Genomic DNA, 27,750 nt, shown 5'->3' on the forward strand with positions numbered 1-27,750 from the left:
GTAGATAAAAACCATTTTATAATTTTTTAGAAATATAGTTCTTCAAATTATTTTTTATTATCAGATCTAAATATATTTACTTTTCTATACTATATAGAAATAATATGTCAAGGTATATGGACTTAAATCATGTTTAATAATGAATATTCCAGTATTTTAGCTTGAACATGACTCATTTTCTGATTTTTTGTATTACTTAATTTAACATAACATGACTCTTGGATTTTAAATTACAGAAAATAATTTTGAGTCGGGCGCAGTGGCTCACACCTGTAATCCCAGCACTTTGGGAGGCTGAGGCGGGGGGATCACGAGGTCAAGAGATCGAGACCATCCTGGCTAACATGGTGAAACCTCGTCTCTACTAAAAATACAGAAAGAAATTAGCCGGGCGTGGTGGTGGGCGCCTGTAGTCCCAGCTACTCAGGAGGCTGAGGCAGGAGAATGGCATGAACCCAGGAGGCAGAGCTTGCAGTGAGCCGAGATCGCACCACTGCACTCCAGCCTGGGCAACAGAGCGAGACTCCATCTCAAAAAAAAAAAAAAAATTTTGAGGCTATGACATAGGCAGCCTCCCTAATGTCTCCTCCCAGCCATTCTAGGTCCCAAGAAGCCATGTGCCACCCATGAGGACTATGAAGATCAGGGCCTCTCTGAGTCCATCAGAACAGAAGCCAGAGCTGTGAAGGCTATACTTGGAGAATCCAACCCCTCCCACAATAGCCAGGAGTCAAAACAGGGAAAGCAGAGGAAGAAGGGGCCATATTGGGCTTGTAGCTGGTGGTCTAGGCACCAAGAATGCGTCTCCAGATGTCATCTTGGCCACCTATCCAGACCCCTGAATCCAGAGACTCTAAACCAAAGACATAAGCTCACAATCAAATCAAGCGAGTATCTAATTATATTTAACTGATAGTTTTGAAGCCATTTTTATTTTATGAACGAATTAAAAACTAGCTTTATTTACCAGATACCACATACACATAACATATATAGACATACAAACGAACAGAAGCGGATCCTATAGCTTTTGCCAGTTTTTAAATACTTTTTCTTTTCTCCATTTGGTGTATCAATCTTTCTATTACCTGTTTCATTTCCCTAAGCAATTGTTAACTAGGCAACAAATTTGCATTTCTAAAGAGAGAACTTGCCACAATTCCCAGTTGCTATGAGAGGGAAATTGACACAATCCCTTAGGTGAAACAAAAAAACCATGTATATTTCATAAGCACAGAGCTAAGATTCTCGGCCTAAGTATTGATTCATCATTTGCTCAAACCCAGGGAAAAAAAAAAACTGCTCAAGTAAAAGTTCACTTAAGATAGACAGAAAAGCACCTTAAACAAAGGCATTACTGATTATTTAAATTTAAAAAAAGGTTAGAGTTTCTATTGTACATTGGCAGACATCCCTACAAATTGAGATTTCCTTTATAGATGTAAATTTCCTTTACAAAAGAGTTTCAAGGTAGCCAATTAAATTCCAGAAAGGTGCATTTTATTTCAATAGGGTGTCCTTTTTAATGTAACCACTGTTTCTTAGTTAAAATTACTGAGTTCAGGGTGGAACCCATTAGGGAACAGAGTCAAAAAAGCATCCTCTATGGCTGGCCTCCCGCATGGATAGGTCGGAACAAGAAGCAAGCCTATTTTACCTGACGGCCTAACTTTTATAAATACCTTATCTAGGATAGCTTTCTTTCCACCTTTAGGGTGGAATAGTAACTAAGCAAAGATTAGCAGATTTAATTTTTCTTATCAATTAGTTTCTTAAGCTTTTTATTTGCCTTTCATAAAATCTTTAAATAAAAAGATTGAAATCTTTTTAGAAGCTTCTGCATATCAATAGGCATCCCTAGATGAGACTAATTCAGGAGGCCTCATTTTCAAATGCATTTCTTCAGTGCAGTGTTGTTTATTTGGAACCTTCCATGGTAAATTATCTTTAGTAAGATTTCACCATTTCTGTAAGACTTTGCTGCTTCTGAGGCCTCATACTTATGCATCGTGAAAGGAAAATAAATCTTGGGGCCCCAAAATCACTAAGCTAAAGGGAAGAGTCAAGCTGGGAACTGCTTAGGGCAAACCTGCCTCCCATTCTAATTCAAAGTCACTCCTAAGCTCACTGAGATGAATGCATATCTGATTGCCTCCTTTGGAGAGGTTCATCAGAAACTCAAAAGAATGCAACCATTTGTTTCTTATCTACCTATGACCTGGAAGCCCCCTCCTGGCTTTCCAGACCTAACCAATATTCATCTTACAAATGTTGATTGATGTCTCATGTCTCCCTAAAATGTATAAAACCAAACTGTGCTCTGACCACCTTGGGCACTTGTCATCAGGACCTCCTGAGGCTGTCACAGGTGCGCATCCTCAACCTTGGCAAAATAAACTTTCTATATTAATGGAGGCCTGTCTCAAATATTTGGGGTTCACAGCATGTATAAGCCAGAAGGTACTCAGTTCTTCCAAAACTAAAGGTTCCATCTTTACCTGAAATATTGGCTTTGGAGATCAGGTTCCCTTAATCAACTTGGCTAATCATTTTTTTCCCTATCTAAGCCTGCAATAAAAATGAAACAAAGAGGAGAATAGAAAAATCCCCATGAATTTCCAAAAGCCAAATTTTACACCCCCTGCAATATTGCCATTTACTACTGGTTTCTTTCTGTCCCAGTCAGACATAAGAGGCCTATAACTGGATCCAAGCCAGCTAATTATCAGATCCAATCCGACCCCTTAGATAGGAATTTGAGCAAGATAAAAAATATCAGAGCTTAGTCCTCAGTGGGTCCAGTGGGTACCTTGCTTAGTCACTCAGCACTCATGGGGGTCATCAGAGGATCTACTTTGGATCTCACTTCTGATGCCACCTATTAAATGAAAAAACTTTGGCTGAATTAAATTTAAGAGTTTAATTTAGCAAAGAACAATTTGTGAATCAGACAGCCTCCTGAGCCAGAGTAGGCTCAGAGACTCTAGCGCAGCCACGTGGTAGAAGACTTACAGGCAGAAAAAGGAAAGTGACGTGCAGAAAACAGATGTGAGGTACAGAAACAACCAAATTGGTTGCAGCTCGGCAGGCATTTGCCTTATTTGAACATAGTTTGAACAGTTAGCCCTTGATTGGCCAAAACTTGGTGATTGGCACAAAAGTAGGCTTCAGTCTGTTTACATCTTCATTTAGGTTAAAGTTCACTATGTACAGAGAAGCCTTTAGGCTGAACTTAAAATACGTTAAAAGGCAGCTTTAGTCTAAACTTGATTTAACAATATAAAGAATTGAGGCAAAGAGAATTTCATAACTTGCTCAAGATCACAGAGAAATGAGAAACTTAGAATAACTCTCAAGTACTCGGACTCCAGACTGGATGCTGTTAACCTCCCCTAGACTCTCATGTCTATATTGCTTTTGGCCTATAACTTTTTCATGTGTGTGCATGAAATTGTGAACTTCTTTTCAGTGATAGTCTTGTGTTCTTATTTTATTACACTTTTTAGTTCTTCTTGAATATGGCTGCACCACTCTGAACACGCCTGATCTTGTCTGATCTCATGAAGCTAAGCAGGGTCAGGCCTGGTTAGTATTTGGATGGGAGGAATAGATCTTGAATTTTATAAATAGCACTCAGACATCTATTTTTATGCTTATTTTTAAATGTCTTGATAAAATGTTTGACTACTATTACATTCTTGGGAAAAATCTCCCTTTTTTGTGTTACACTTTTAATAATCACTAGATTTTGTTTGCTAAAATGTTATTTAGAATTTTTCATGTATTTTTCACTGGACTGTGATTTTTCTTTTTATATAACATCTTTTTTAAGGGTCTTTGTTAATATTACACTCAAGTTTTCTTGTTTTCTTTGCCCTGAATTCAAGCAGTTAAAAATCCATGGGAAATAGTTTTCCTTGACATTTTCTTTTTTTTTTTTTTTTTTGAGACAGAGTCTCGCTCTGTCACCCAGGCTGGAGTGCAGTGGCGTGATCTCGCCTCACTGCAACCTCTGCCTCCTGGGTTCATGCCATTATCCTGCCTCAGTCTCCTGAGTAGCTGGGACTACAGGTGCCCGCCACCACGCCTGGCTAATTTTTTATTTTTTGTATTTTTAGTAGAGACAGGGTTTCACTATGTTAGCCAGGATGGTCTCGATCTCCTGACCTCGTGATCTGCCTGCCTTGGCCTCCCAAAGTGCTGGGATTACAGGTGTGAGCCACTGCGCCCGGCCTTTTCCTTGACATTTTCAAAGAACTATGCATGTAATATTATAGTGACTGTTCACCCAGCCCCTTGCCCTAAAGCCTGGTAACATGATTAACTCATGATTCCTGGATAAATGCTATGTTCTCATTCCTCCATTTTTATCTATACGTAAGGCTCTTGGCTTTGAATTTTATTTCTATCTCTTTGTTTGGTTAAGTTCATCTTGGTAAAACATTAGCTCTCCCCGCATTTGTTCTCAGTTCTATGATGTAGAGTTGATAAACTTTCCCAGTAGGACAGACACATATTTTGCCCAATGTGTGTTCTCTGTAAATGCAGGTGAGGAAGGAGGGGTAATTAGAGGAAACAGAATTAGAATCTCTAGGGATTTGAGCCCTTAAACAATTCTACGATAAACTACAATTTATACAATATTTTCTGAGTCATGTAGTTTTGTGTTGGATTGCTTTCGGTCTGGTAGAATTCAGCTGGGAAACCAACTGGTCCAGGGCTTTTTTGGTTGGTAGGTTTTTCATTACTGATTCCATTTCAGAAGTTGATATTGGTCTATTCACGTTAACAGTCTTTTCCTGATTCAATCTTGGAAAATCGTGTGCTTACAGGAAAGTATCCATTTCCTCTAGATTTTCTAATTTGTGTGCTTAGAGTTATTCATAATAGTTTCTGAAGGTCTTTTGTATTTCTGTGGGACCAGTTATGATACTGATAAAAAAAAAAACCACCTTTTTCATTTCTGATTGTGCTTTCTTGGATCTTCTCTTTCTTTTTCTTTGTTAAACTGGCTAGTGGCCTATCGATTTTATTTTTTTGAAAAACCAAGTCTTGGTTTTATTGATCTTTTGTATGGATTTTTACATGTCAATTTCATTAAGTTCTTCTCTAATTTCAGTGGTTTTTCTTCTGCTAGTTTTGGATTTTCTCCTCCCTAGTTCCTTTCCCTTAGTTGACCTAGTTTCTTCCTTTCCAAAGATAGATTGTTAATTTGAGATTTTTTTAACTTCTTGATGAAGACATTTAGGGCTATAAACTTTCCTCTTAACACTGCCTTGGCTGCATCCAGAGATTTTGGTAAGTTGTGTCCCTATTTTCATTAATTTCAAACGATTTTTTTGATTTCTGCCTCAATTTTGATGTTGACCCAGGAGTTATGCTAGAGTAAGTTAGTTAATTTCATGTATTTGTATAGTTTGAGGCAATCTTGATATTGATTTCTACTATTATTGTACTGTGATTCAAGAATGTGCTTTGGTATGACTTCAATCATTTTGAATTTATTGAGACTTTTTATGATCAAGCATGTGGTTGATCTTAGAATACATTCTGTGTGCAGACAAGAAAAATGTATATTTTTTGGTTGTTGGGTGTAGTGTCCTGTAGCTGTCTGAGATCCAGTTGGTCAAGTGTCAAGTTTAAATCCAGAGTTTCATTGTTAACTTTCTGCCCTGATGATCTAACGCTGTCAGTAGGATGTTCAAGCCTCCCACTAGTATTTTGTGTTTGTCTAAGGTTTTTCGTTGGCCAAGAAGAACTTATTTTATGAATCTGGGTGCTCCAATGTTGGGTGCATATATATTTAGAACAGTTAGGGCTTCTTGTTGGATTGTACCCTTTATCATTATGTAATGCCTTTTATTGTCCTTCTTGATTTTTTATTTAAAGTCTGTTTTATCTGATATAAGTATAGTGACTCCTGCTCTTTTTTCCTCTCAGTTTGCATGGTAGAATTTTCTCCATTCTTTTACTTTGAGCCTGTGGGTGTTATTATATGTGACATGGATTTCTTGAAGCAAACTGACATTTGGGGCTTGTCTTTTTATCAGGCTTTCCACTCTGTGACTTTTAAGTGGGCATTAAGCCCATTTATATTCAAGGTTACTATTGATGGGAATGATTTTAATTTTGTCATTGTGTTGTTAACTGGCTGTTATGTAGACTTAATTACGCAGTTGCTTTATAGTTCTTGTGGGCTATGGTCTGAAGTGTCTTTTGTGGTAGCAGGCTCTTTCAATTCTATGTTTAGCACTCCCTCACCAGGTCCCCCTCACCGGGGACCTGAGGATCTGAGGACTCCCTCACCAGGTCCACTTCTGGGGATGTCTTGTAAGTCTGGTCTAGTTTAAATATACTCCCTCAGAATTTGCTTTTCTGAGAAGGATTTTATTTCATCTTCATTTAAGAAGCTTGGTTTGGCAGCATATGAAATTCTTGGTTAGAATTTTTTTTCTTCAAGATGCTAAAAATAGGCCCCCAATCTCTTCTGGCTTATAAGGTTTCTGCCGAAAGGTCTGCTATTAGCCTGATGGGTTCCCTTTGTAAGTTACATTCCCCATCTTTCTTGCTGCCTTTAAGATGTTTTCTTTTGTGTTCACTTCAGTGAATCTGATGACCACGTGCCTTGGGGATGGATGTCTTGTATAGTATCTGGCTAGGGTCCTCTATATTTCTTGGATTTGCAGGTCAACCTCTCTAATGAGTTTAGGGAAATTTTCATGGACTATGTCCTCAAATATACTTTCCAAGTTGCTTATTATTTTTCTTTCTCAAGAATGCCAATGAGTCATAGATTTGGTTTCTTTGCATAATTGCATATTTCTCAGAGGTTTTGTTCATTTTTCTTTATTTTTTCTCTTTATTTTTGCCTGACTGAGTTGACTTAATTAACTGTCTTCAAGCCCTGAGGTTCTTTTCTCTGCTTGGTCTATTCTGCTGTTAATAGTTCTGCTTGTAGTTTGAAATTCTCGTAGCGAATTTTTCAGTTCAAGAAGTTCAATTTTGGGTCTTTCTTAAAACGGCTTCTTAGTCTTTCAACTCTTGAATCATTTTACTGAATTGCTTTGCATCCTTGGATTGAGTTTCAACTTTCTCTTGGTCTTGATAAGCTTCCTAGCCATCCAGATTCTGAATTCTATGTCTGCCATTTCAGACATTTCAGACTGATTAACCATTGCTGGGAACCTAGTGGGCCTGTTTGGAGGTGAGGGGACACTGGCTTTCTGAATTGCCAGAGTTCTTATTCTGATTTTTTTCCCATCTGAGAAGGCTGGGTTCCTTTAACTGTGATGGTAATCTAGCATAGTCAGTTGGCTTTGTATCCGGAAGTTTTCAGAGGGCTAAGGCTCTGTAAGGGTCTTTGTGGTTGAATTCTTGCCCTTGGTTTATCAGCAGGGAGAAGTGGCAGAGTGACTTTTTTGTTGTTGTTGTAGTTTGGGCTGCGATCTGGTAGATAGTGCTTGAGAGCAATGGATGGAAGACGGGCTCTTACTTGGCAGCATGGCTCCTTTGTGTATCCTTGGATTTGCAGCTATGCTCTGTGGTACAAGGGGGAGAGAGGTGACCCCCTCACCAGGTCCACTCCTGGGGACTGGGGGAGCCATCTCTGATCGCTGGCACTTTGCCAGCAATTCCAATTATTTATTTATTTATTTATTTATTTATTTATTTATTTATTTATTTAAATTTGATGTTTCAGCCTCGGGGCTCCCTTGGACAGAGGTCCAGTAGGGAAATAGGCCACATCTTTACTGGACCTGCCCTGTGGAGGGGAGGCACATCTAGGTTCTAGGCCAACTTGTGAACCAGTGCAATTCACCCTTCTCAGTTTTCTGGGAGTGTGGGGTCCTCCCCAACTTGAGTGCAGAGCACAGATCCTGGCTAGGTAATCCTGAGCCATGGGCCAGGACCCTGGGGTGCCAGGACCTGCTTGCAGCTCCCTTCTCCAGACCCTTGGGACTGGGTCCCAGGTGCACTATAGGATCTGAAGGGCTCCCAGGCTTCCAGAATGCACTTAGGTGGCACAAAGCACCCAGGCTGGGCAGTGGAGCTATGCTGTATACAGGCTTCTGCAGGGTGGCCAGGCAGAAGACTTGGGAGGGGCTGGCAGGCAGGTGGCCTGTGAGACAGATGTGCCCCAGTCCCACAGGGAAGGTGGCCCTGCTTTCTCCCCAGTGGTTAGCTAGGGCCAGAGACTGTCAAAGGGAGATAGGCAGCCCTTGGTGGGGTTAGGCTCCGCCAAAGCTGTCCCTAGCACAAAGGTTCCTGGCGCCATGCCTGTGGCAGCTCTGTCTCTGTCTAATCTCTGAAGACATCCACCTACCAGCTCAAATGTCCGTGGCGCGTGTGAGGTCTCCAGTCTCCAAGTCCCTTCACTTACCCTTTCCTCAGACACCGCTGGAGGCCAGGAAGCAGCCTTAGCATTCAGTTACCCGCACGGAGTTTCCAGCTTCCTCCCTCTTCAGCCTCAGGGTCTGCATCTTTTCTACATCCACATTCAGCATCTTCTTTACAAAGATCTGTTGAAATTATGTTGATTTAGTCAAAATCTCGGCCTCTCTCCATGGGAGCCACACTTCCCAGCAGCATTGAGTTGGCCATCTTAAGACCCAGTTGGTGTATAATTTTTAAATATTTAATAGAAACTTTAAAATATTTGAAAAATTAATCTTACATTATCACACTGCCCATTCTGAATTGTCAGCTTCCATGAGTGTAATCATTAGCTTAACTGTCTGTACTATGTATTCTTCAAATTAAAACAAATGACATAGTTATTTGGAATAATTTTTTATAAAGGTGGACAACACGATGTTTCTGTAGCGTTATTAAATTACTAGTTATCTAGTTATCTAACTTGGACAGCACTTAGCAAGTTAGATAACTGACTTGATAGTTTGTAAAACTAATCTCATTGACATTTCTTCTAGTCCAGATATTATTTTCTCCGATAAACAACCATTGTTTATAAAATCACTGTCAAGGAAAGATTAAAATAGATTTAATGAACTAAAAGAAGTAGAAGGTTTGTTTATTAAGAGGAAGAGTTCAGAGATCTGAGCTCAATACGAGTACACATCTTAAATGAAATAAAGGGAATAATGAGAAAGAAAGAAGTCAAATGAATATCTAAACATGTTTCATCAAGGAAAATATAGGAAAAACATTTGCCTATATATTCATAAAGGCAAAATGTAAATATCTAATTAAAGTGCAGTTGTAAAGAAGGACAGGCAATACAGCTTTATTAACATACAGCTGCTTTTTACTGGTTATCCAACATCCTTGATGAAGATTAGATTTTATCACCCACCATCTCCTCAGGGTCCACCTGCGAGGTGGTGGGTTTTGCAAGTTGACAAACACAACTGAACTTTATCTATTATTCACGTTGGGTTTCTATATGAATTTCTGTGAATAAAGTTTTCTATTACTAAATTTTTAATAGTAAAATTGAGAACGTTTTTCTTATTGCCATTATTTTTTCTTTTCTTTTTATACATTATTTTACAGCATCTTTTAATGCTGTCAATCTATAGAAGATAGAATGTTGTTGTATTTCCTTACAGGTTCTACTGACTTTGAAGTGTTCTGAAGTTGAAGGTTATGATTCTTTCTCATTTTGTTTCAAAACAGGGTCCCCATTTCCCTAACGTAGGATTCGAGGGCACAAGCAGAGGAGGAAAGGGGTGTCAAAGTCAGAACCGCCTAGAAGGCAACGAGAAGCAGAAGCGCAGGCCTGCGAGATGCTCATCAGAGTGACTTAGCTGTGGGCTGCGGAAAGCAACGGAAGGAACTCACATCCACTGGCCGCATTCCGCTCCCCGGAACGGAGGACAGAGCCGAGTTTCTTCAGGCAGTGGCTCCGGCCAACTCTGCCCCACAGGTAAGGAGCGCGCAGCTGCCACACACCGCAGGCAGCGCGAACACAGACTCGGCCTTCCTAGGGCGCCGGCGTGTTGAGGGCGCCGCCCCCGTCGCTGCTGGGAGCTCGGCAGGCCCGTGGCCTTCTGCCTGGTTCTCCCGCCTCTGCAAGCCTCGCCTTCAGGACTCCGCCTCGCCTTCCTCTTTTCTGTTGGACAGACTCACGGGACCGTCTGCCTGGATGATGTGTGCACATTTCTTACCACGATTCCTCTGCACACCAGGTCCAGGGACTGCCGCGCTAGGGACGGCACAGCTGAACTGTGCAGGCAGCGAAGGGGCCTCACGGGGACCGCTCAGCTCCCTGAGGGCGCAGCCCCCCCTGGTCGGGGGGGAATAAACTTCCGCGGTTTTCAGTGACCCAGTTTGTGGCACGGCACAGGTTGAAAAGTTAAAATCTGAGCGCGTTAACTTCAGAGATGTACTGTGAGCGGCTTTGTGCAGCGAAATGACCTGTTTACCGAACAGCGCCCTCTGTAGCCCAGTGCTCAGAACGGGCCTTTTCATGATGTTCCTGCGTTGTGTTTACAGCCTCCCTGTGAGGGGGTTGCGCGCACAGGTGGACCTCGTTTTATTGCGCCTTGCTCTATTGTGCCTCGCAGATACTGCACTTTTTTTACAAATTGAAAGTTTGTGGCAACTCTGTTGGGGCACCTCTATGGGTGCCATTTTTCCAACGGCTCGTGTTCACTTCATATCTCTGTGTCATATTTTTAATTCTTGTAATATTTCGAATTTTTTCATTATCATTATATCCGTCATGGTGATCTGTAATCAGTGATCTTTGATTTTACTTTGTAATTGTTTTGGGGAACCAACGACCGCACCCACGTAAGACAGAAAACGTAATAAATGTCACGTGTGTTCCGAGTGCTCCAATGACCAGCTGCCCCCCATCTCTCTCCCTCCCCTCAGGCCTCCCTGTTCCCTGAAACGCAATTGTGGGATTACACCATTAATAACCTACAACGGCCTCTAAGTGTTCAAGTAAAAGGAAGAGACACACATCTCTCACTTTAAATCGAAAGCTAGAGATGATTAAGCTTAGTAGGGAAAGCCTGTTCCAAGTTGAGATAGGCTGAAAGCAAGGCCTTTTGCACCCAGGAGTTAGCCCAGTTGTGAATGCAAAGAAAAACCTCTTAAAGGAAATTAAAAGTGCTGCTCTAGTGAACACATGAATGACAAGAAAGCGAAACAGCCTTATTACAGTGGTCTAGATAGATCAAACCAACCACAGCGTTCCCTCAGGCCAAAGCCTACTCCAGAGCAAGGAACTCTCCTCAGTTCCACAAAGGCTGAGAGGAGTGAGAAAGCTACAGAAGAAAAGTTTGAAAGTAGCAGAGATTGGTTCATGAGGTCTAAGGAAATAAACCATGTCCACAACATAAAAGTGCTTCCCTCCAATAAAATGTCATGAAATAAGAACTTTTTACAAATGTGCTCATTGCTGATTCCCTAGCCCTAAAACAATGCCTGCCACATGGTGACCATTGAATAGCTACGGGATGACGGGTCAGAAGGGGCATCAGGATGAATGATCACTCATGAACAAGGCAAAACAAAGGACATTTTCAGATGAGCCAAAATTGAAAGAGTTGATTGCCCCCATCTCTTCATGCTCGTCAACTAGAAGGAAACTGTGCCCAAGAAACGGGAAAGAAGCGCCCCAAATTCTGCATAAATTTAAAAAGTTTAAAGTAAACACTGGCTATGTAAACACCACAGTGATAATCATAACTAATACTGAGGGTAAAGACAACTTAGAGTAAAAATCCTGGCAGAAGCCAACACAATGACATGAGAGATTGGGGAGGAGAATCAGAACTAGAAGACTCTTGAGTTGGTTGTAGAGGACGGTAAGGATACTGATACATTTTCAGTTTATGAAATAAAACCTCAGGTTAAAAGGAAAGTTATTTTCAGATTATATAATTTTCTTAATGTCTGTTTCTTATAAGATCATATTTAAAGATAAAGATTTAGAAATAGCAAAAGAGAAAGAATAGAAACAGGCACATATTAACTAACTAAAAGAAAGCTGCTATACCTATTAGATTTAATAGACTTAAAGCAGAAAGCATTAAAGGTATAAAAATAGGTGTCACTGGTTAAGGATTTTTAAAAAGAAACCAATTTATAAGAAAGAGAAAAATTACAAATAAATATTAGTAAATTCATAACCGAACTAGGATTTATTTATTTATTTTTTTTTGAGATGGAGTCTTGCTCTGTCACCCAGGCTGGAGTGCAGTGGCGCCATCTCAGATCACTGCAACCTCCGCCTCCTGGGTTCAAGTGATTGTCCAACCTCAGCCTCCTGAGTAGCTGGGATCATAGGCGCACTCCACCGCATCCGGCTAACTTTTGTATTTTTAGTAGAGATAGAGTTTCACCATGTTGGCCAGGCTGATCTCGAACTCCTGACGTCAGGTGATCTGCCCACCTTGGCCTCCCAAAGTGCTGGGATTATAGGAATGAGCCACTGCGCCCGGCCCAAACTGGGATATTTTTAACACAGTTCTCTCATTACCTAATGCAGTGGTCCCCAACCTTTTTGGCACTAGGGACCAGTTTCATGGAAGACAATTTTTCCACGGACTGGCATGGGTGTGGGTTGTGGGGGGGTTGGCTGATTACGTTCACTAAATTTACTGTGCACTTCATTATTATATTGTAATGAAATAATTATAAATTATACAATTCACCGCAATGTAGAACAAATAGGAGCCCTGAGGGTTTTTTTTGTTTTGTTTTGTTTTGTTGTTGTTGTTGTTTTGTTTTTGTTTTTAGAAAGCCTCACACTGTAACCCGGGCTGGAGTGCAATGGCATGATCTTGGCTCACTGCAACCTCCACCTCCCAGGTTCAAACGATTCTCCTGCCTCAGCCTCCTGAGTAGCTAAGATTACAGGTGCCATCCACCACGCCCAACTAATTTTTTGTATTTTTTTTTTTTTAGAAGAGATAGGGTTTCCCTATGTTTACCAGGTTGGTCTCGAACTCCTCACCTTGTGATCTGCCCACCTTGGCCTCCCAAAGTGCTGGGATTACAGGCGTGAGCCACTGCACTCGACCGCCCTGAGCTTTTTTTCCTGCAACTAGAGGGTCTGATCTAGGGGTGAAGAGAGACAGTGAGAGATCATCAGGCATTAGATTCTCATGAGGAGCGCACAGCCTAGATCCCTCGCATGCGCAGTTCACAGTAGGGTTCGCACTCCTATGAGAATCAAATGCTGCCACTGGTCTGAAGGAGGCGGAGCTCAGGCCTAACGGAGCGATGGGGTGTGGCTGTAAATACAGACAAAGCTCCCCTGTCTTGCCCGCCGCTCACTTCCTGCTGTGCAGCCCAGTTCCCAAGAGACCCAGGGGTTACCTAGAGGATGGCGTTTTAGAGTCCAGGTGAGACCGGGAAAGAATGTGGTGGCTTTTAAGACAATGAGCTGACTGCACTGTGCGAGTAAGTAACACCCATTTATCTCCGTTGCTGCTCGAGCCATGTAGCCAGGCCCACCCAGAAAAGCTGAAACACAAGCCCCAGACTGAGGTCTGACGGCGTTTACGGAGGCATCCAGACCTGGGTGCGCTTACACACCGGCACGGAAGCCACAGGCTCACAGTTCTTGGATAAGAACCAGGAAAACATGCATTAAGCAGGGTAAGCCCCAAATTATCTGGACAGCTGCTGCTGTGGGGAACTTGCCTCCAGGGCTCAAGTATCTGCTAACCTGCAAGTCCCCACACCTCTGCACATTCGCATGCAAAGGCACCTACCCACACGGGTTCCTGGTGACGTCACTCACCTGTCTGCTTGTTAAGAAACTGCACAACTTCCAAACCATCAGGGTAGGTCGTGTGTGTCGTCTGAGCATTTGCATAATAGTAAACCTGTAAGCACCAGAAACACCTATGTTGGGAGGCAGTTTGTGTTATCATTTTGAACCTGGATTTAATCTAGTAAAGTCCTTCCTACAGGGGGGTAAAAGCACCGTCCCAGCAGGTGGGAGTGGGCTGACCTTGTCCATGGGCATCCTCCACAGCAAGGAGGCGTGGGGAGAGGGCTTGTCACCCAAGCCCAGAAGTCAAGACACTGTGGCTCTAGGCTAGTGGGAGAGAGGACTGGACTGAGGTGGAATTCCCAGTCCTTCACCTGGGAGAAATGCACCTTGCGCTGGCATTTTGCAGCCTCTGCCTCTAAGTCGGTGGGCACGGCTGAGCCCCGGACAGTCAGCACCAGGAATTTGGACCATGTTTTGTGTTTTATTAAAGTGGTTATCTCCCACTTATATGTTTGCTCTGGGGTCAGGGTGGCCACAGTGACAACCGCCACATTCAACACCTGATACAAATAACACACAGAGACATACAAATAACATACAAATAACACCTGCCATGACTGTGGCACTGTTTCTAAATGCAGATCATTAGCCCTGAGGCTTCCAGGCAAACCCATTAGCTGGATCCCCAAACAAAATAAAATCCCAAGAAAAATGTTCCCACTCGTCCCCCCACTGAAGATGTTGAAAAGGGCAGAACAGAATGTGGGTTTTTCTCGGGAGAACAGAAAACAAGCGGGACCTGTGTTCCCAGACTTCCCCGCCAGGTGCCTACTTACATCACACGTAAGTTCACAGCCCAAATTTCCTGCCGTAGAGAAAATAATTTCATTTTATTGACATTTTTTGTAAAATATAGCATGTTACAAGTGGACCACTAGCTAGGGCTTAGAAATATGTTTGCTATTCGTGCCTTCGAGTCTATTAATGTCAATTGAGAACTGTAAATCAAAATGATAAAAAATGAAACTTTGACTTGGGAAACTCTTAAGCCATGAAAAATATTAATCCTGTTTGACTATGTGCTAAATGCAACCAACTTAAATCTATAAAAGAAAGTCTCTGTTTGAAAGGCTGAACCTCAGGAAATAAAGAGACATTTGGAATCATCTTAATTTTCTGTTCTTGTCAAGAAGATGCAACCATCTCTTGACACCCACTCCGAATCTCACTTCCCCAGGATGAAAAGGTGAGCTTCTCAGGTCTCCCTCAGGGGAACCTGGCGGGCCACCCTTGCAGAAGCCACTCAGCCCACCTACCTGCAGCTCTGCAATGTTTGGGGAAGAAGCAGTGAACTCATCAGGTTGAACGTGGCTGAGAAATCCACCTTCAGAACTCTCTAAGACTGAGGAGCTTCCGTCTAAAAAGCAAATAAGTTAAATTTAAAAGGATAGTGTATATACATTGTGGAAATATCAGTATCCTAATGCGATTGCTAAATTCAATTTAAGCAAACGTGTGAACACATTCTTTCTTGTTCATGAGATTACTATACACATGTCAGGTCAGTTCAACAACAAATGATCCTGTAAGGAACATTAATTCTTTAATGAATACACTCAGTCGGTATTTCTCTTTCGAGTATTCTGATGGATCAGGAGATTCACGGATGGAAAGGCACTGTCTTGGCCCTGAAGCTGCTCACAGTCCCGCAGCAGGCAAACACAGAAGAGAAAAGCCGAATCCCTGTGACACTGGCTTACGGGACCTATGAAGGGCCACGGGCCATTGTGAAGGAGCACCACAGGCTTCCAGGAGAGCCAGGAGTCAGGGGAGCTTCCCCAGGATGGCGTCACTGTCAGCTGAGATGATGCCTGGAGGTTGCGGAGATACTAGCAGGTGTGTGTGAGAGGCAAGGTCCCCCATTCTGCCCGGCACCAGCAAGTACACTGAAGTCTTGTCCGGGGGCCTGAAGGGGAGGGGACAGCAGGAACAAGGTAGCCAGGCTGGAGCAGACCTGATGGGAAGGGCTTCCCTGCCCCACAGAGAAGTGCAGAGGGGACTGTGAGGGCACGCAGAGCCTGAGGTGGTCTGAAGCAGACAGATGGCACCAGCCTCACCTCTACGAAGCTCCCTGCAGAGGCCATGAAACAGCCTGGGGGTGGGCAGGAAGCCCGGGGGGCAGACTCAGGAGGAAGACAGTGTCAGATTCGGCCCTGAAGGGCCACGCAGACCTCGGCCAAGGATGGGAAGGAGTCCAGGTGCCAGGCAGCCCAGGGCGAGTGGTGCCCACAGGCTTGGGCTGTGCTGTGCATAAGGGCCACACCTGAAGCTCGGCCACACCTGAGGCTCGGCCACCACATAGGCCCCGTTTCTTTACCAAGATAGGTTCCTGCAGAGGTCGTGAAGCTGCTGTGGTCATTTGCTGGCAGCGACGTGAAGATAGAATTCTTTCCTGACTCAACCAGGGGCACTCTCGTCTCCTCCCCGTGAGACCCGCAATGCAGGAAGCACCCACAGCTGCATGGACAGAACTGGGGCCTGGGAAAGAGGCCAGGAAGGTGCCAGATGAGAGGGCGCTCCATCAGGGTGGCAGCAATGCCATGGGCTGGCAAATGGAGAAAGGGGAACAAAGCACCCAAGTGCATCTAGCCCCAGCCACACGCCTTCTGCTGGGAGTGTGCTCAGAGGGAAGTGACCGCTAGGATTCGGAATCTCCAGTCACGGCCCCTGGAGACCGGCATGTGGGCTGTGTGTGGGGTGGAGGGCTGGGGGTGTTGGCAAGTCTCACAGGTGAGGACCCAACGAGGGAATCAGACAAAAAGTGGCCACAAATTAGGCAGCTCCAGGAAGGACATGTCCTTGCCATAGTAAGATGTTCTGCTCACGCGTATCCACGAGAAAGCCCCGCATTTCACGGGGAGCATAGAAACAGGAGTCCCCAACTCTGCTCACCAGCTCCTCCGGCTGCTGCCATCTGCTCCTGCAGCATGGCGGCCTGGGAAGCCTGCACTGGTGATTTTCTGCCACTCAAGTTTTGCAGACTTCGGGAAGATGGATGCATAGCCTGGGGCAATGACAGTCACAGGCCCGCCTTGTCACAAGGTCCCTGGAGCGGGCAATGCCTTGAGCCCAAAGGCTGGGAGCACAAAGCCATCTTCAGCCATCCTCGATTTCCAGCAAGACCCCAGGGCTCACCCAACAGCCCGACACTCCATACTACAAGGTGGGTTAATTTTTTTAAAGACTCTGCAGAAATATACCAACTACAGAGCTCAGGAAAGCAACTGATTTATAAAACCCAATCCAAGTTGTTTGCTTTTATAGCATTAGAGACATGTCTGAAGAACTTCAAGTTTTTATCTATAGAAACATAATTAGTTTAATAAATTACTAGGTCTATTTTGAATAACAAATTGAGTACTTTTATTAGACCTAAGTGGAACTTTATCTGAATCTGAATTTTCCAAGGGGCCAGTGTAGAGTGACACAGGTGTCCGAGGCCACCTTTCCATCTTCAGACACCCCCCCGTCTCTCTGCACAGGGAGTTGGCCTTCCAGTAGGTGTTGCTCTTCTGTCTTGACGTCTCCTGGAAAGATTTTTATCTCTATTTTCCTGTGGTGGTGTTTTCCACGAGCTAATTCTTTCTATCTTTAAACTCATTGGCTGAAAACAAATGTGGGAATATTTTTGCATTAGTAACAATTATATTATTTTTAAATGTTAAGCAACACATCATACCAGCTATCACAGAATGTAGATGATTCTACTCCCCCTTCCTACAGAAGGACACATGAGGTATCCACACTTAGTGTCTCTCATTCCCCATTTTACAGCCCACGCTCTTGTGAAATTTGGGATTCCAATACATGGCTGATATTGTAAAGTCAACAGTGAAATAAAGTGCTTGAAACTCAATTCAAAAATGCATAATAAAAATAATTTTCTACATTTTGCACTATTTAACAATTGATGGTTTCAAGGCGTGGATAAGCCACCCATTCAGTTATCTATTTACTCGTACATTGCCCCGCATGCCTGTGATTAACTCAGGTCAATGATGGAGCATGAGAGAAGTCCGCGTCTCACAGGAGGCTGGGCCTGTGCAGTCCACCCTGGGACTTACGATGTTTTGTACTCATAGGATCTGAAAAGGCTCTTTTCCTACTTGTGACAAATGCTTGGAGTAGATTTCTGATCTTCCTTCAGGGAATAAAGTGTTATCTGCTCAGCAGTTGCTTTGGGAAAGAATGCGAGGGGATAAATCATCTTCAGGAGTTGGGGGCGCCTTCTCCATCCACATCAACCCAGTATCAGTTGCTGGCTGTGGACTCACGAGATTTGCTTCCTGAGTATGAGGGTGACACAAAGCTGGGACAGGAAGAGACACACTGGCTGGGAGAATGTTCTAAAGAGGAGCTAATTTTAACAAAGAAAAATGTGATAGAGACTGCCGAGACCAGCTCGGTCAGGAAGACCCTAACCCAGCAGTGCTAGAGGAATTAAAGACATACGCACGGAAGTATAGCATGTGGAGTGGGAAATCAGGGCACTCACAGCCTTCAGAGCTGAGAGCCGTGAACAGAGATTTACCCACATATTTATTGACAGCAAGCCAGTGATAAATTGTTTCTATAGATTATAGATTAACTAAAAGTATTCCTTATGGGAAACAAAGGGATGGGCCAAAACAAAGGGATGGGCTCTGGCTAGATATCCACAGCAGAAACATGTCCTTAAGGCACAGATCGCTCATGCTACTGTTTGTGGTTTAAGAACGCCTTTAAGCGGTTTTCCACCCTGGGTGGGCCAGGTGTTCCTTGCCATCATTCTGGTAAACCCACAACCTTCAGCGTGGGCATCATGGCCATCACGAACATGTCACAGTGCTGCAGAGATTTTGTTTGTGGCCAGTTTTGGGGCCAGTTTATGGCCAGATCTGGGGGCCTATTCCCAACAAGAGACAAAATAGCATCCTGTACTGTGGCTCCCAAGCTAACAGCGCCACCCCTGTTCAGAGGAGTCCACGCCGACAAGCAGCAGGTGCAAGACCGCAGTGCAGAAGCAGGGAGCACGGGAGGCTGCGAGCCCTCAGACTCACGGGTGGAGACAGTGCCACACACATCACCTCCGCAGCCTGCACCCACGGAAACAAAGCCCCCAAGTCCCCTCGGCCCCAGCCAGACGCTTGCTGCTGTGAGTGTACTCAGAGGGAAGCAGCCGGGAGGACTTGGAATCTGCTCCACAGCAAGAAGTGCTAAGGGTTAGGATCTTGTTTGAAAGGCATGTACCCGTGTCCTTGGAAGAACACAGGACTCCAGGGAGCACCATGCTCACCCAGGGAGGTGAAATTGTGTGGTGAGGAGCTGATGGGATGTGTGTGTTTGGGTACAGAACCTCTGCTTCTCTTTACAGATGATAAGCACAAAGGGTCACCTTTGGAGGAGCTGAATTGTTAGATGACGATCTTTGTCCCAGGAGAGTGGCACTCTGATTCTTGTGGCCAGCGTATTTGGGTATTGTCTCTTCATCAGCTGACAGAGGTGAAATTTTTCCAAAAGCAGGTTCCAATGCCTAAAAGACAAAATGCAGGGAAATTCTTCACATTTTCGAAGGTAAAATAAATTCAAATTTTAATACAATGAAGAATAATTGGAATGTCCTAGAAAAAAATAGGGTACAAGGTAGGGGGACTTGGACTGGGTTTTCCCCCTAATATGTTGATAAGAACAGAAACCCTCACCAAGCGTTTGTGAAGGAACCTTTGTGGAGCCGATGTTTGCTTTGTGTTTCTTATTGTGGTTCCTTGTTTCAAAATGATCACAGGATCCCAAAGGCTACAGAACAAACAATCCCCAACATATCTTCCTTTAGGCTCCTGTGTCTTCAACCGGGAGTGTGTTAACGGAGGAAGAAAATGTGATACTACTTCTAGTGTTGTCTCTACAACTTGTCTAAGATCCAAAATGCAAATTCCCAACTTTCCCTGTTATCAGCAGACTGACCTGGAACAGGGTGATCCTTCAGGTGGGATGAGGTATATTAGGTCTGGAATGCTAAATTATTCACCGTTCTGCCCTCTGAGGAGGAGAAGGGAATGAGAAGGGGAGAGGGTTGCTATGAACGAACCCTTAATATCAGATCCAGAGTGGCTCACCCACACAGCCATGCCCGCGTTCTGTGGGTGCTCGAGTCTCAGCCTTTTAGATATTCAGTCCCTAAAACGGCGACTACACACAGATACACCTTCGCATATTTAAAGTGTGGGATTCACATATCCCATCCTGTTTCTTCAAATCAGGTATGCTCTTGTGAGCGTACATCCTGTTCTTATAAATAGCCCCACGGTGACCAGTGCAATGCACAGAATGGAAAAATATTTGGAAATTCACCAAGCTCTAATCTCAAAATAAGAGAATGATCAAAACTGCAGGGCATGTGAAGACTGAATAAGACTTCATTGACTCTTAGGGTAATTGTTATACAATGACCCAAATGGGGCAGTAGATACTATTTTTTAGGAACTGGCATACAATATATGTAGGGAAAAAAATCCCTGTGAGTCTTCTTGGGTTCTCCCCACAGAAGGTGGACAATCCCGGCCAGTATTTGTGGCAATTTCCCCCACTCTTCCTCTGACAGAGGAACAGCCTGCCCAGCTTCTGCTCTTCCTTCCGCAGAAGGACTCGGCGCTTTGCTGTGCTGAGAGGCTAAACTCACTTTCTTTCTGAGGCAGCAGAAGCCATCTCCATGGAAACAAAGCTCTCGCAGAGCTCCCGAAGAGTGGGAATAACTTCCAAGATTTCCCGTAATTTCTTGTAGAGGAACTTGTGGCAGTTTTTTTTGTTTGTTTGTTTTGTTTTTTTCAGACGGAGTCTTGCTCTGTCCCCCAGGCTGGAGTGCAGTGGCGCGATCTCGGCTCACTGCAAGCTCCACCTCCCTGATTCAGGCCATTCTCCAGCCTCAGCCTCCCGAGTAGCTGGGACTATAGGCACCCGCCACCACACCTGGCTAATGTTTTTGTATTTTTAGTAGAGACGGGGTTTCACCGTGTTAGCCAGGATGGTCTCAATCTCCTGACCTCACGATCCACCTGCCTCGGCCTCCCAAAGTGCTGGGATTACAGGTGTGAGCCACCGCGCCCAGCTGTGGCTGTTTTTGCTGTGCTTGGAGAACAAACCACAGAGCAGTCTCCTCTGGAATGTATTCGGTGGGTGCCTGTGTGTGTGTGTGTGTGTGTGTGTGTGTGTGTGTGTGTGTTGTAATCACTGTGCTGTATCGGAAATATTCTAAGTCCTGGAAGTACCGATTTAAAAGTTCACACAATAAATGCAGCTAGGAAATGTTAGTACTTTTCTTAATCCACTAAGAAATATCCCCACTTACGTTTGGAGGGTGTTCATGTGGTTTCATGTGTTGTTACCTGTATGTATAATTTTAATGATTCAAGTTATTTAGATCCATATGCAGGAAACAGAACCCAGACAAGGCAGTGATAACACTGGCCACATTCACACTCTCTTAGGCTGGTTCTTTGAGCGGTGTGATCAAACGTGAAAGCTCAGTGTTCTGTAGAGGCAGGCTGGTGCTGGGAGGCACCCACTACTTCAGCATGAGAATGCTGGTTCTTCGTTCGGGATAGAGCAGGTTAGTGATACAGGATGGGGGCAGGAAAGTCCTGGGTGGAGAAGAACGGGGTCCCTGGCTAGGGCTCGACCCCTGGGCCTGTGCCCATGGACCTACGCATTTCTGCTTTTGTGCCCAAATGTTGCATTTCCCAAGACCACCGTGGCCTGCCACACTCCCATCCTATGCCTATAAAAACCCCAAGACCCTAGCGGGCAGAGACCAAGCGGCTGGATGTCGAGAAGAACACACCGGCAGAAGAGCACACCAGCAGACACAGCAGACGCCAGCAGGCCATCGACTGGCGGAATGACACGGAGTTTGCTTGGGGTGGTCAGGGGAGAGCCCGGTCACTGGGCAGCCCAACTCCCAAGGGGAAAACTGCCTTCCCACTCCATCTCCCTTCTGGCTCCCCCATCTGCTGACAGGTATCACCACTCAATAAAAAACCTTGCACCCATCCTCCAAGCCCATGTGTGATCTGATTTTTCAGGTACACCAAGGCAAGAACCCAGGATACAGAAAGCCCTCTGTCCTTGTGATAAGGCAGAGGGTCTAATTGAGCTGATAAACACAAGCTGCCTACGGAGGGGTAAACTGAAAGAGCTCCCGCACTGTAACACACACCCTCTGGGGCTTCAGCTGGAAACATTCACCCCCAGACACTGCCGTGGGGTCAGAGCCCCATAGCCTGCCGGTCTGTACACTCCCCTAGAGGTTTGAGCAGTGGGGAACCAAAGAAGCGAGCCACACCCCCATCGCACACCCTGCGAGGGGGACAAGGGAACTTTTCCCGTTTCAACAGGTCTCTATTGCATTCTACACAGCTGTCCTAGAGGATGAACAGAAGGACACCAGGCTACTGAGCTGGCTCTGGAGTCACCCTGGGTTCAAATCCCAGCTCTACGTTCTCCAGCCCGTGGCCACGATGGGGTTAGTAATAGGATCCATTTCATAGGGTCGTCATAGAGAGTAAGACCGTAAAGCTCCGTACCTAGCCCATGTAAAGTCCACAGTAAGGGTTTGCTGCTGTTGTCCTGAGACATCATGAGATGTCTTAGAATTCTGGACTTGAGACACACGGCCTGGGGGCGGCAATGCTTCTGTCTGCTGGAGTGCCAGGTGAGAGGCCTGATGTATCCAGTTCTTATTAATCATTACTTACGGGAAATGGAGTTGATGGAAAGATAGCAACCCCTCCCACCACCCGGAGCGTGAGTGATACCGCGTCATTCAGCAATAAAGCCCACATCTTTATGGGGACGCTATTTTTACATAACGCAAACGGTACAAAAACATAAATGCGCTTTTGGTACCAGAGTGTGCGATTCTTGCCCCGCGTGTGGGGACGCTGCAGATTTCTTCCTGGCTTTCCACCGCTGCAGCTGCAGAGCTCTCAGCTTTTCTCGGAGCTCCATGTTCTGCTCCCTCAAAGCATCTATATGACTCCGGAGTTTTCCATGAACATCAGCCCACAGAGACTTCTGTCTCCCAAGCTCTTGGTGGAGTCTGATGATCTGCTGCTGTAATGGCTGTTATTGGGAAGAGAACACCAGAAAAACCTCTCAGATGTCACAATGGGCACATTTATCTGCAAAATACTCAAGCCCTCTCTGATGTAAGACCAACACTATTTCTGGAATAAAAGACACCCGATGAGATAAACAGGACTACCACAGCCTTTTTCTTTCTTCTTTCTTTCCTTTCTTTCTTTCTTTTCTTTTCTTTTTTCAGGGTCTCACTCAGTCACTCAGGCTGGAGTGCAGTGGCATGATCTCAGCTCACTGAAGCTTCAACTTGATGAGCTCAAGCGATCCTCCTGTCTCGACCTCCCAAATAGCTGGGACTACAGGCATGTGCCACCATACTTCGCTAATTTTTGTATTTTTACTCGGGATGGGGGTTCACCATGTTGCCCAGACTGGTCTCAAACTCCTGGGCTCAAGCAATCCACCTGCCTCGGCCTCCCAAAGTGCTGGGATTACAGGAATAAGCTACCATGCCTGGCCATAGCTTTATTCTTATTAAGTAGTGTTTATTATGAGTTAGTCCACATAATATAACCAGATAAAGATGGTTAGTGAATTATGATTTTTTTGTTAAAACACTACTACAGCAAAAAGAGGCTGGCATTCTTTTCCTTTTTTTTTTTTTTTTTTTTTTTTTTTTGAGACAGTGTCTTTCTCTGTCACCCAGGCTGGAGTGCAGTGGCGCAGTCTCAGCTCACTGCAACCTCCACTTCCCAGATTCAAGCAACTCTGGTGCCTCAGCATCCAGAGTAGTTGGGATTACAGGCACATGCCACCACACCTGGCTAATTTTTCTATTGTTAGTAGAGACAGGGTTTTACCATGTTGGCCAGACTGGTCTCAAAGGCTGTACTGGCATGGATATATGGTCAATAGTTTAAAAATTATGGAAGCCGGCCGGGCGCGGTGGCTCACGCCTGTAATCCCAGCACTTTGGGAGGCCGAGGCGGGCGGATCACGAGGTCAGGAGATCGAGACCATCCCGGCTAACACGGTGAAACCCCGTCTCTACTAAAAATACAAAAAATTAGCCGGGCGTAGTGGCGGGCGCCTGTAGTCCCAGCTACGTGGGAGGCTGAGGCAGGAGAATGGCGTGAACCCGGGAGGCGGAGCTTGCAGTGAGCCGAGATCCCGCCACTGCACTCCAGCCTGGGCGACAGAGCGAGACTCCGTCTCAAAAAAAAAAAAAAAAAAAAAAAAAAATTATGGAAGCCACTGCATTTTCAACCTAACATGTTAGCCTTCCCCTGGGATCCTTCACTGGATCGTAGAGCCTCCAGCCTTGCTCTGAGAATAAGTGGGATCGTGATAAAGGTACAGTCCTGCACTGGGTGGCCCTGGCCACAGGGACCCGTGGGACTTTAATGACAGCAAGCACTGTCCAACAGGGTCCAATGAGGAAGATGGTAAAAATCAGGAAACTTGCTGGGATGATGTGAGGCATGTCAACTTTCTGATTTTCTTTAATGAAGTTTTTAAAGTCTGGTGCCTTCTCCTGGATTAGAGGAGAAAAGCTGGAATGTTAATATTTTCTTTAACTCCCTGCCCTGCCTCCCATCCACCAAGAGATACGGTTGCAGAGGGGGAAAGAGCCACATGCCCCTTGGAGAGGAAGTACAGAATCAGTGTCCCGGGGTGGTGCATTCCTACAGGGGTCCAGCAAGGGAAAGTCCAATGACGGGCCTCAGGGACAGGAATCAGGGTCCCGCCTGGTGGGACTAACTCTGTCCCCACAGAGCTCAACTCACTGGCATCTCCCCAGTGTTGCAGTCCTCCGTGAGAACCTCGGCTGCCACAGCTGTCTTCTCCATGACAGCCCCAGCTCCTGGGCACGGGTCCTCTGGGTGGGTGCCCTCTTTGGGGTCCCTGGCCTCGAGTTGACCTGCCAGCATCCTGGTTGGGAAGGGAAGGGCTATGGGGACACTTGAATGCAGCCCTCCTACCCCGTCAGTGTGGGCTGAAGGCCCCAGCCCCAAACTAAGGGTGAGCAGGACCCGCAGCCGCTCCTTCTCCCCCTGGGTCATGTGCACATTCCCAGGCCCGAAGCTGACCAGGTGAAAGGACACCACAGACAGAGGGACTGAGCTGTCCACACCTGGCTCTCCACCATCCTCCGTGGAAAATGCTTTAGATCCTAGAAGATCAGCCTGACACCTAACACACTCCAGTCATCCAAAGAGGGGTGTGAGTGGGGTGTGAGCCGGTGTGAGTGGGATGTGAGTGGGTTGTGAGCAGGATATGAGCGGAATGTGAATGGATGTGAGCGGATGTGAGCACGATGGTCTTGGGGTATGAGCAGGTGTGAGTGGAATGGTCTCAGGGTGTGAGCAGGTGTGAGTGGAGGGTCGCATGAGACACCGAGGGAATTCTCAGCCCTTTAATCAGCACCCACCTGGAGGGGCACAGGCAGACCCTCCACCGTGTTGAGTATGTGTCTTGAACCATCAGGGTGACATTTGTGAATTCATGGTGAAGATGTGGAAAGGAAACACCTTTTTATAGGTACAGCATTTATGCCAGTTCTAGGAAGTTCACAGCAATTAGAGAACAAAAACGAAAGAGAAAAACGCAAAGCTTTCCTGCAAGCCTGCAGGGTCGTCTCTGAAAGCTGCCTCCACCCCTGCCTTGCCCTGTCCGTTTTAGGAAGCCAGTGGCCCCCAACGAAACCCCGACTGTTTAATTCATAAACTTCTAACTGTGTGAGAAGGAACAGTTTAACCACAGTGATCGGAGAAATGCTATTTAAAAGAGAGTCTCCTGATGGAAGCGAATCGAAGGTCTAGAGCAAGACCTACCAGTAACCAGATCACTGCCATTCCTTCCCCGCGGAGACTGGGAATGTTTCTGCGGAAGTGGGCTGGGGTCACGGTCCTCACAGCCCTGAGAAAGCTCCTTCTTTCCTGCTCCTCTGAGGGGACACCCCAGTGTCCTCGGCCCCAAACTCATGACCCCCTCAGTCCAGGGAAGACCCTTTCCTTCAGCCCCACCACCAGACCTCGTCACCTCACCTGGTCCCCAACAGTCACTACTGCCAGGATCAGATCATCTGGGCCATGTCCCCACAGTTGTCCCCAAGCCCTCCTGCCTCATATCCAGAGACCAGAGAGCAGCGGACAGTTCCAACGGACTTTCTGTCTTAAAGGGACATGAACGTCTCACTCAGCGTCACCACTGTACCAGCTCAGATAATAATTAAACATCCCCAAACCTGCAATTCTTAATATAGAAGCTCATCGTCAGTGGAGTCCATCCATCCACAAAGGACATTGGAGAGAGTCAAACTACTCCTCCAAATTGACAAAAACCATGTGTTTTATATCCAGTCTTCAATACGCAACGTGTAGTAAGAGCTCATTTCTCTGAGCATACATTCTTGGAGAAATACAAACTTTCTTCGGATATCAAATTATTTACTAGAAAAAACATTTTTATGAAGGGAAAATAATATATGTGAGTTTAAATAGGAGACAGGATTCAAAGTTTCATCATTTCACTAAATGCATCTCCATCTGAATTGTCCGTGTGATTTTTGTGATAGAGAAGAGAATGAGGAGCAAGCAAGAGTCGATATTCCTGTTAAACCCTGGCTGTCCTTCTCATCCATGGTGCTGCGTGTGGACAACATACACCTGGGGCTCACCTGAGCCTGCTTGGGACGTGTGTCACTTGGATAGTTCTGCAAGCGATTCGCATGCAATAGGCAGTAAATGCCGACGTCATGAATGAATGAAGAGAATACTACAAAGAGGAAACAGAAGGCACTTTTGTCCCCATGTGTCATTCTAACTGTGAGAGTGTGTGTGTGTGTCCTGAGGTGTGCGAGTGTGTGTGTGTGTGTCCTGAGGTGCGTGAGAGGTTGTATGTTTGTCCTGAAGTGTGTGAGAGTTTATATAGGTTTCTGAGGTATGTGAGGGGTTGTGTGTGTCCCTGAGGTGTATGAGGTGTGTGTGGGTCCTGAGGTGTGTGAGTGGTTGTGTGTGGGTCCCTGAGGTGTGTGAGAGGTTGTGTGTGGGTCCTAAGGTGTGTGAGTGGTTGTGTGTGGGTCCTAAGGTGTGTGAGAGGTTGTGTGTGGGTCCTAAGGTGTGTGAGTGGTTGTGTGTGGGTCCTAAGGTGTGTGAGAGGTTGTGTGAGTCCTGAGGTGTGTGAGAGGATTGTGTGTGAGTCCTGAGGTGTGTGAGGGGTTATGTATGGGCCCCTGAGGTGTGTGAGGGGTTTTATGTGTGTCCTGAGAAGTGTGATGAATTGTGTGGGTCCTGAGGTGTGTGAGGGTTTGTGTATGAGACCCTGAGGTGTGTCAACATTGTGTGTGAGACCCTGAGGTGTGTGAGGGGTTGTGTGTGGATTCCTGAGGTGTGTGAGGGCTTGTGTGTATGAGCCTGAGGTGTGTGGGTTCCTTATATGGGTTCCTGAGGTGTGTGAGGGGTTGTGTGTGTGTCCTGAGGTGTGTGAGGGGTTGTGCTTGGGTCCTGGGGTGTGTGAGTGGGTGTTTGTCCTGAGGTGTGTGAGAGGTTGTGTGTGTGTCCTGAGGTGTGTGAGAGTTTGCGTAGGTTCCTGAGGTATGTGAGGGGTTGTGTGTGTCCTGAGGTGTGTGAGAGGTTGTGTGAGTCCCTGGGGTGTGTGAGAGTTTGTGTAGGTTTCTGAGGTGTGTGAGAGTTTGTGTAGCTTCCTGAGGTGTGTGAGAGGTTGTGTGAGTCCCTGAGGTGCGTGAGGGGTTGTGTGTGTCCTGAAGTGTGTGAGAGGTTGTGTAGGTTTCAGGCTTTGCAGCTCCCCTCCTGAGCCTCAGCCGGGCGGCTCCCAGGGCAGGGTCCCCCCATCCCTGTCTCTGCTGCGGCTCTCTGTGTGTTGCTCTTCCCGGCCTGGCCAGGACATTTTCTTCATTGAGTCTTCCCCAGATTCTC

At 45.6% G+C, this 27,750-nt stretch overlaps 2 protein-coding genes and 1 pseudogene across 4 annotated transcripts in view, besides 7 other annotated features; 1 reads left to right on the forward strand and 2 right to left on the reverse strand.

Annotated features, from left to right (window-relative positions):
* Positions 1,769-2,560: an enhancer, noted in NCBI's record as "OCT4-NANOG-H3K27ac hESC enhancer chr21:33933639-33934430 (GRCh37/hg19 assembly coordinates)". NCBI's record gives its function as "activates a minimal SCP1, AML or CMV promoter by ChIP-STARR-seq in naive and primed H9 embryonic stem cells {active_cell/tissue: H9 hESC(naive and primed)}" and the evidence as "EXISTENCE:reporter gene assay evidence [ECO:0000049][PMID:30033119]".
* Positions 2,561-3,352: an enhancer, noted in NCBI's record as "H3K27ac hESC enhancer chr21:33934431-33935222 (GRCh37/hg19 assembly coordinates)". NCBI's record gives its function as "activates a minimal SCP1, AML or CMV promoter by ChIP-STARR-seq in primed H9 embryonic stem cells {active_cell/tissue: H9 hESC(primed)}" and the evidence as "EXISTENCE:reporter gene assay evidence [ECO:0000049][PMID:30033119]".
* RNA5SP490 (RNA, 5S ribosomal pseudogene 490) lies at positions 3,515-3,650 on the forward strand (annotated as a pseudogene).
* CFAP298-TCP10L (CFAP298-TCP10L readthrough) overlaps positions 3,932-27,750 on the reverse strand; it is a 48,886-nt gene continuing 25,067 nt past the window's right edge. Inside the window, exons 6-12 of one of the 3 annotated variants that reach the window (NR_146639.2) lie at positions 22,640-22,855; positions 19,134-19,271; positions 15,016-17,363; positions 14,536-14,564; positions 13,724-13,808; positions 8,381-8,519; positions 3,932-7,538 (exon numbers count right to left, since the gene is read on the reverse strand). Coding sequence is in view for 1 of the 3 variants with exons in the window: in NM_001350338.2 (NP_001337267.1) it covers positions 17,214-17,363; positions 19,134-19,271; positions 22,640-22,855 (504 nt within the window). In the remaining 2 variants the exon portion in view is untranslated. Of the gene's footprint in view, positions 7,539-8,380; positions 8,520-13,723; positions 13,809-14,160; positions 17,364-19,133; positions 19,272-22,639; positions 22,856-27,750 lie in introns of those variants that run through there. The other 2 variants (NR_146638.2, NM_001350338.2) reach the window with 2 other exon arrangements.
* Positions 9,407-9,950: an enhancer, noted in NCBI's record as "H3K4me1 hESC enhancer chr21:33941277-33941820 (GRCh37/hg19 assembly coordinates)". NCBI's record gives its function as "activates a minimal SCP1, AML or CMV promoter by ChIP-STARR-seq in naive H9 embryonic stem cells {active_cell/tissue: H9 hESC(naive)}" and the evidence as "EXISTENCE:reporter gene assay evidence [ECO:0000049][PMID:30033119]".
* Positions 9,951-10,492: an enhancer, noted in NCBI's record as "H3K4me1 hESC enhancer chr21:33941821-33942362 (GRCh37/hg19 assembly coordinates)". NCBI's record gives its function as "activates a minimal SCP1, AML or CMV promoter by ChIP-STARR-seq in naive H9 embryonic stem cells {active_cell/tissue: H9 hESC(naive)}" and the evidence as "EXISTENCE:reporter gene assay evidence [ECO:0000049][PMID:30033119]".
* Positions 10,297-10,366: an enhancer, noted in NCBI's record as "active region_18363". NCBI's record gives its function as "activates an Ori minimal core promoter by ATAC-STARR-seq in GM12878 lymphoblastoid cells {active_cell/tissue: GM12878}" and the evidence as "EXISTENCE:reporter gene assay evidence [ECO:0000049][PMID:35858748]".
* Positions 14,161-25,963, reverse strand: TCP10L (t-complex 10 like). Its single transcript, NM_144659.7, has 5 exons — positions 25,861-25,963; positions 24,601-24,745; positions 22,640-22,855; positions 19,134-19,271; positions 14,161-17,363 (listed from the first exon to the last, which is right to left on the reverse strand). The coding sequence occupies exons 2-5, from the start codon at positions 24,742-24,744 to the stop codon at positions 17,214-17,216; spliced, it is 648 nt and encodes a 215-aa protein (NP_653260.1). The 5' UTR covers position 24,745; positions 25,861-25,963; the 3' UTR covers positions 14,161-17,213.
* Positions 24,220-24,720: an enhancer, noted in NCBI's record as "H3K4me1 hESC enhancer chr21:33956090-33956590 (GRCh37/hg19 assembly coordinates)". NCBI's record gives its function as "activates a minimal SCP1, AML or CMV promoter by ChIP-STARR-seq in primed H9 embryonic stem cells {active_cell/tissue: H9 hESC(primed)}" and the evidence as "EXISTENCE:reporter gene assay evidence [ECO:0000049][PMID:30033119]".
* Positions 25,802-26,001: a silencer, noted in NCBI's record as "fragment chr21:33957672-33957871 (GRCh37/hg19 assembly coordinates)". NCBI's record gives its function as "represses an EF-1alpha promoter that drives an FKBP-Casp9 reporter gene in an ReSE screen in K562 erythroleukemia cells {active_cell/tissue: K562}" and the evidence as "EXISTENCE:reporter gene assay evidence [ECO:0000049][PMID:32094911]".

The sequence above is a fragment of the Homo sapiens genome, chromosome 21 (genome assembly GCF_000001405.40).
Source record: "Homo sapiens chromosome 21, GRCh38.p14 Primary Assembly".
Classification (NCBI taxonomy): domain Eukaryota; kingdom Metazoa; phylum Chordata; class Mammalia; order Primates; family Hominidae; genus Homo; species Homo sapiens.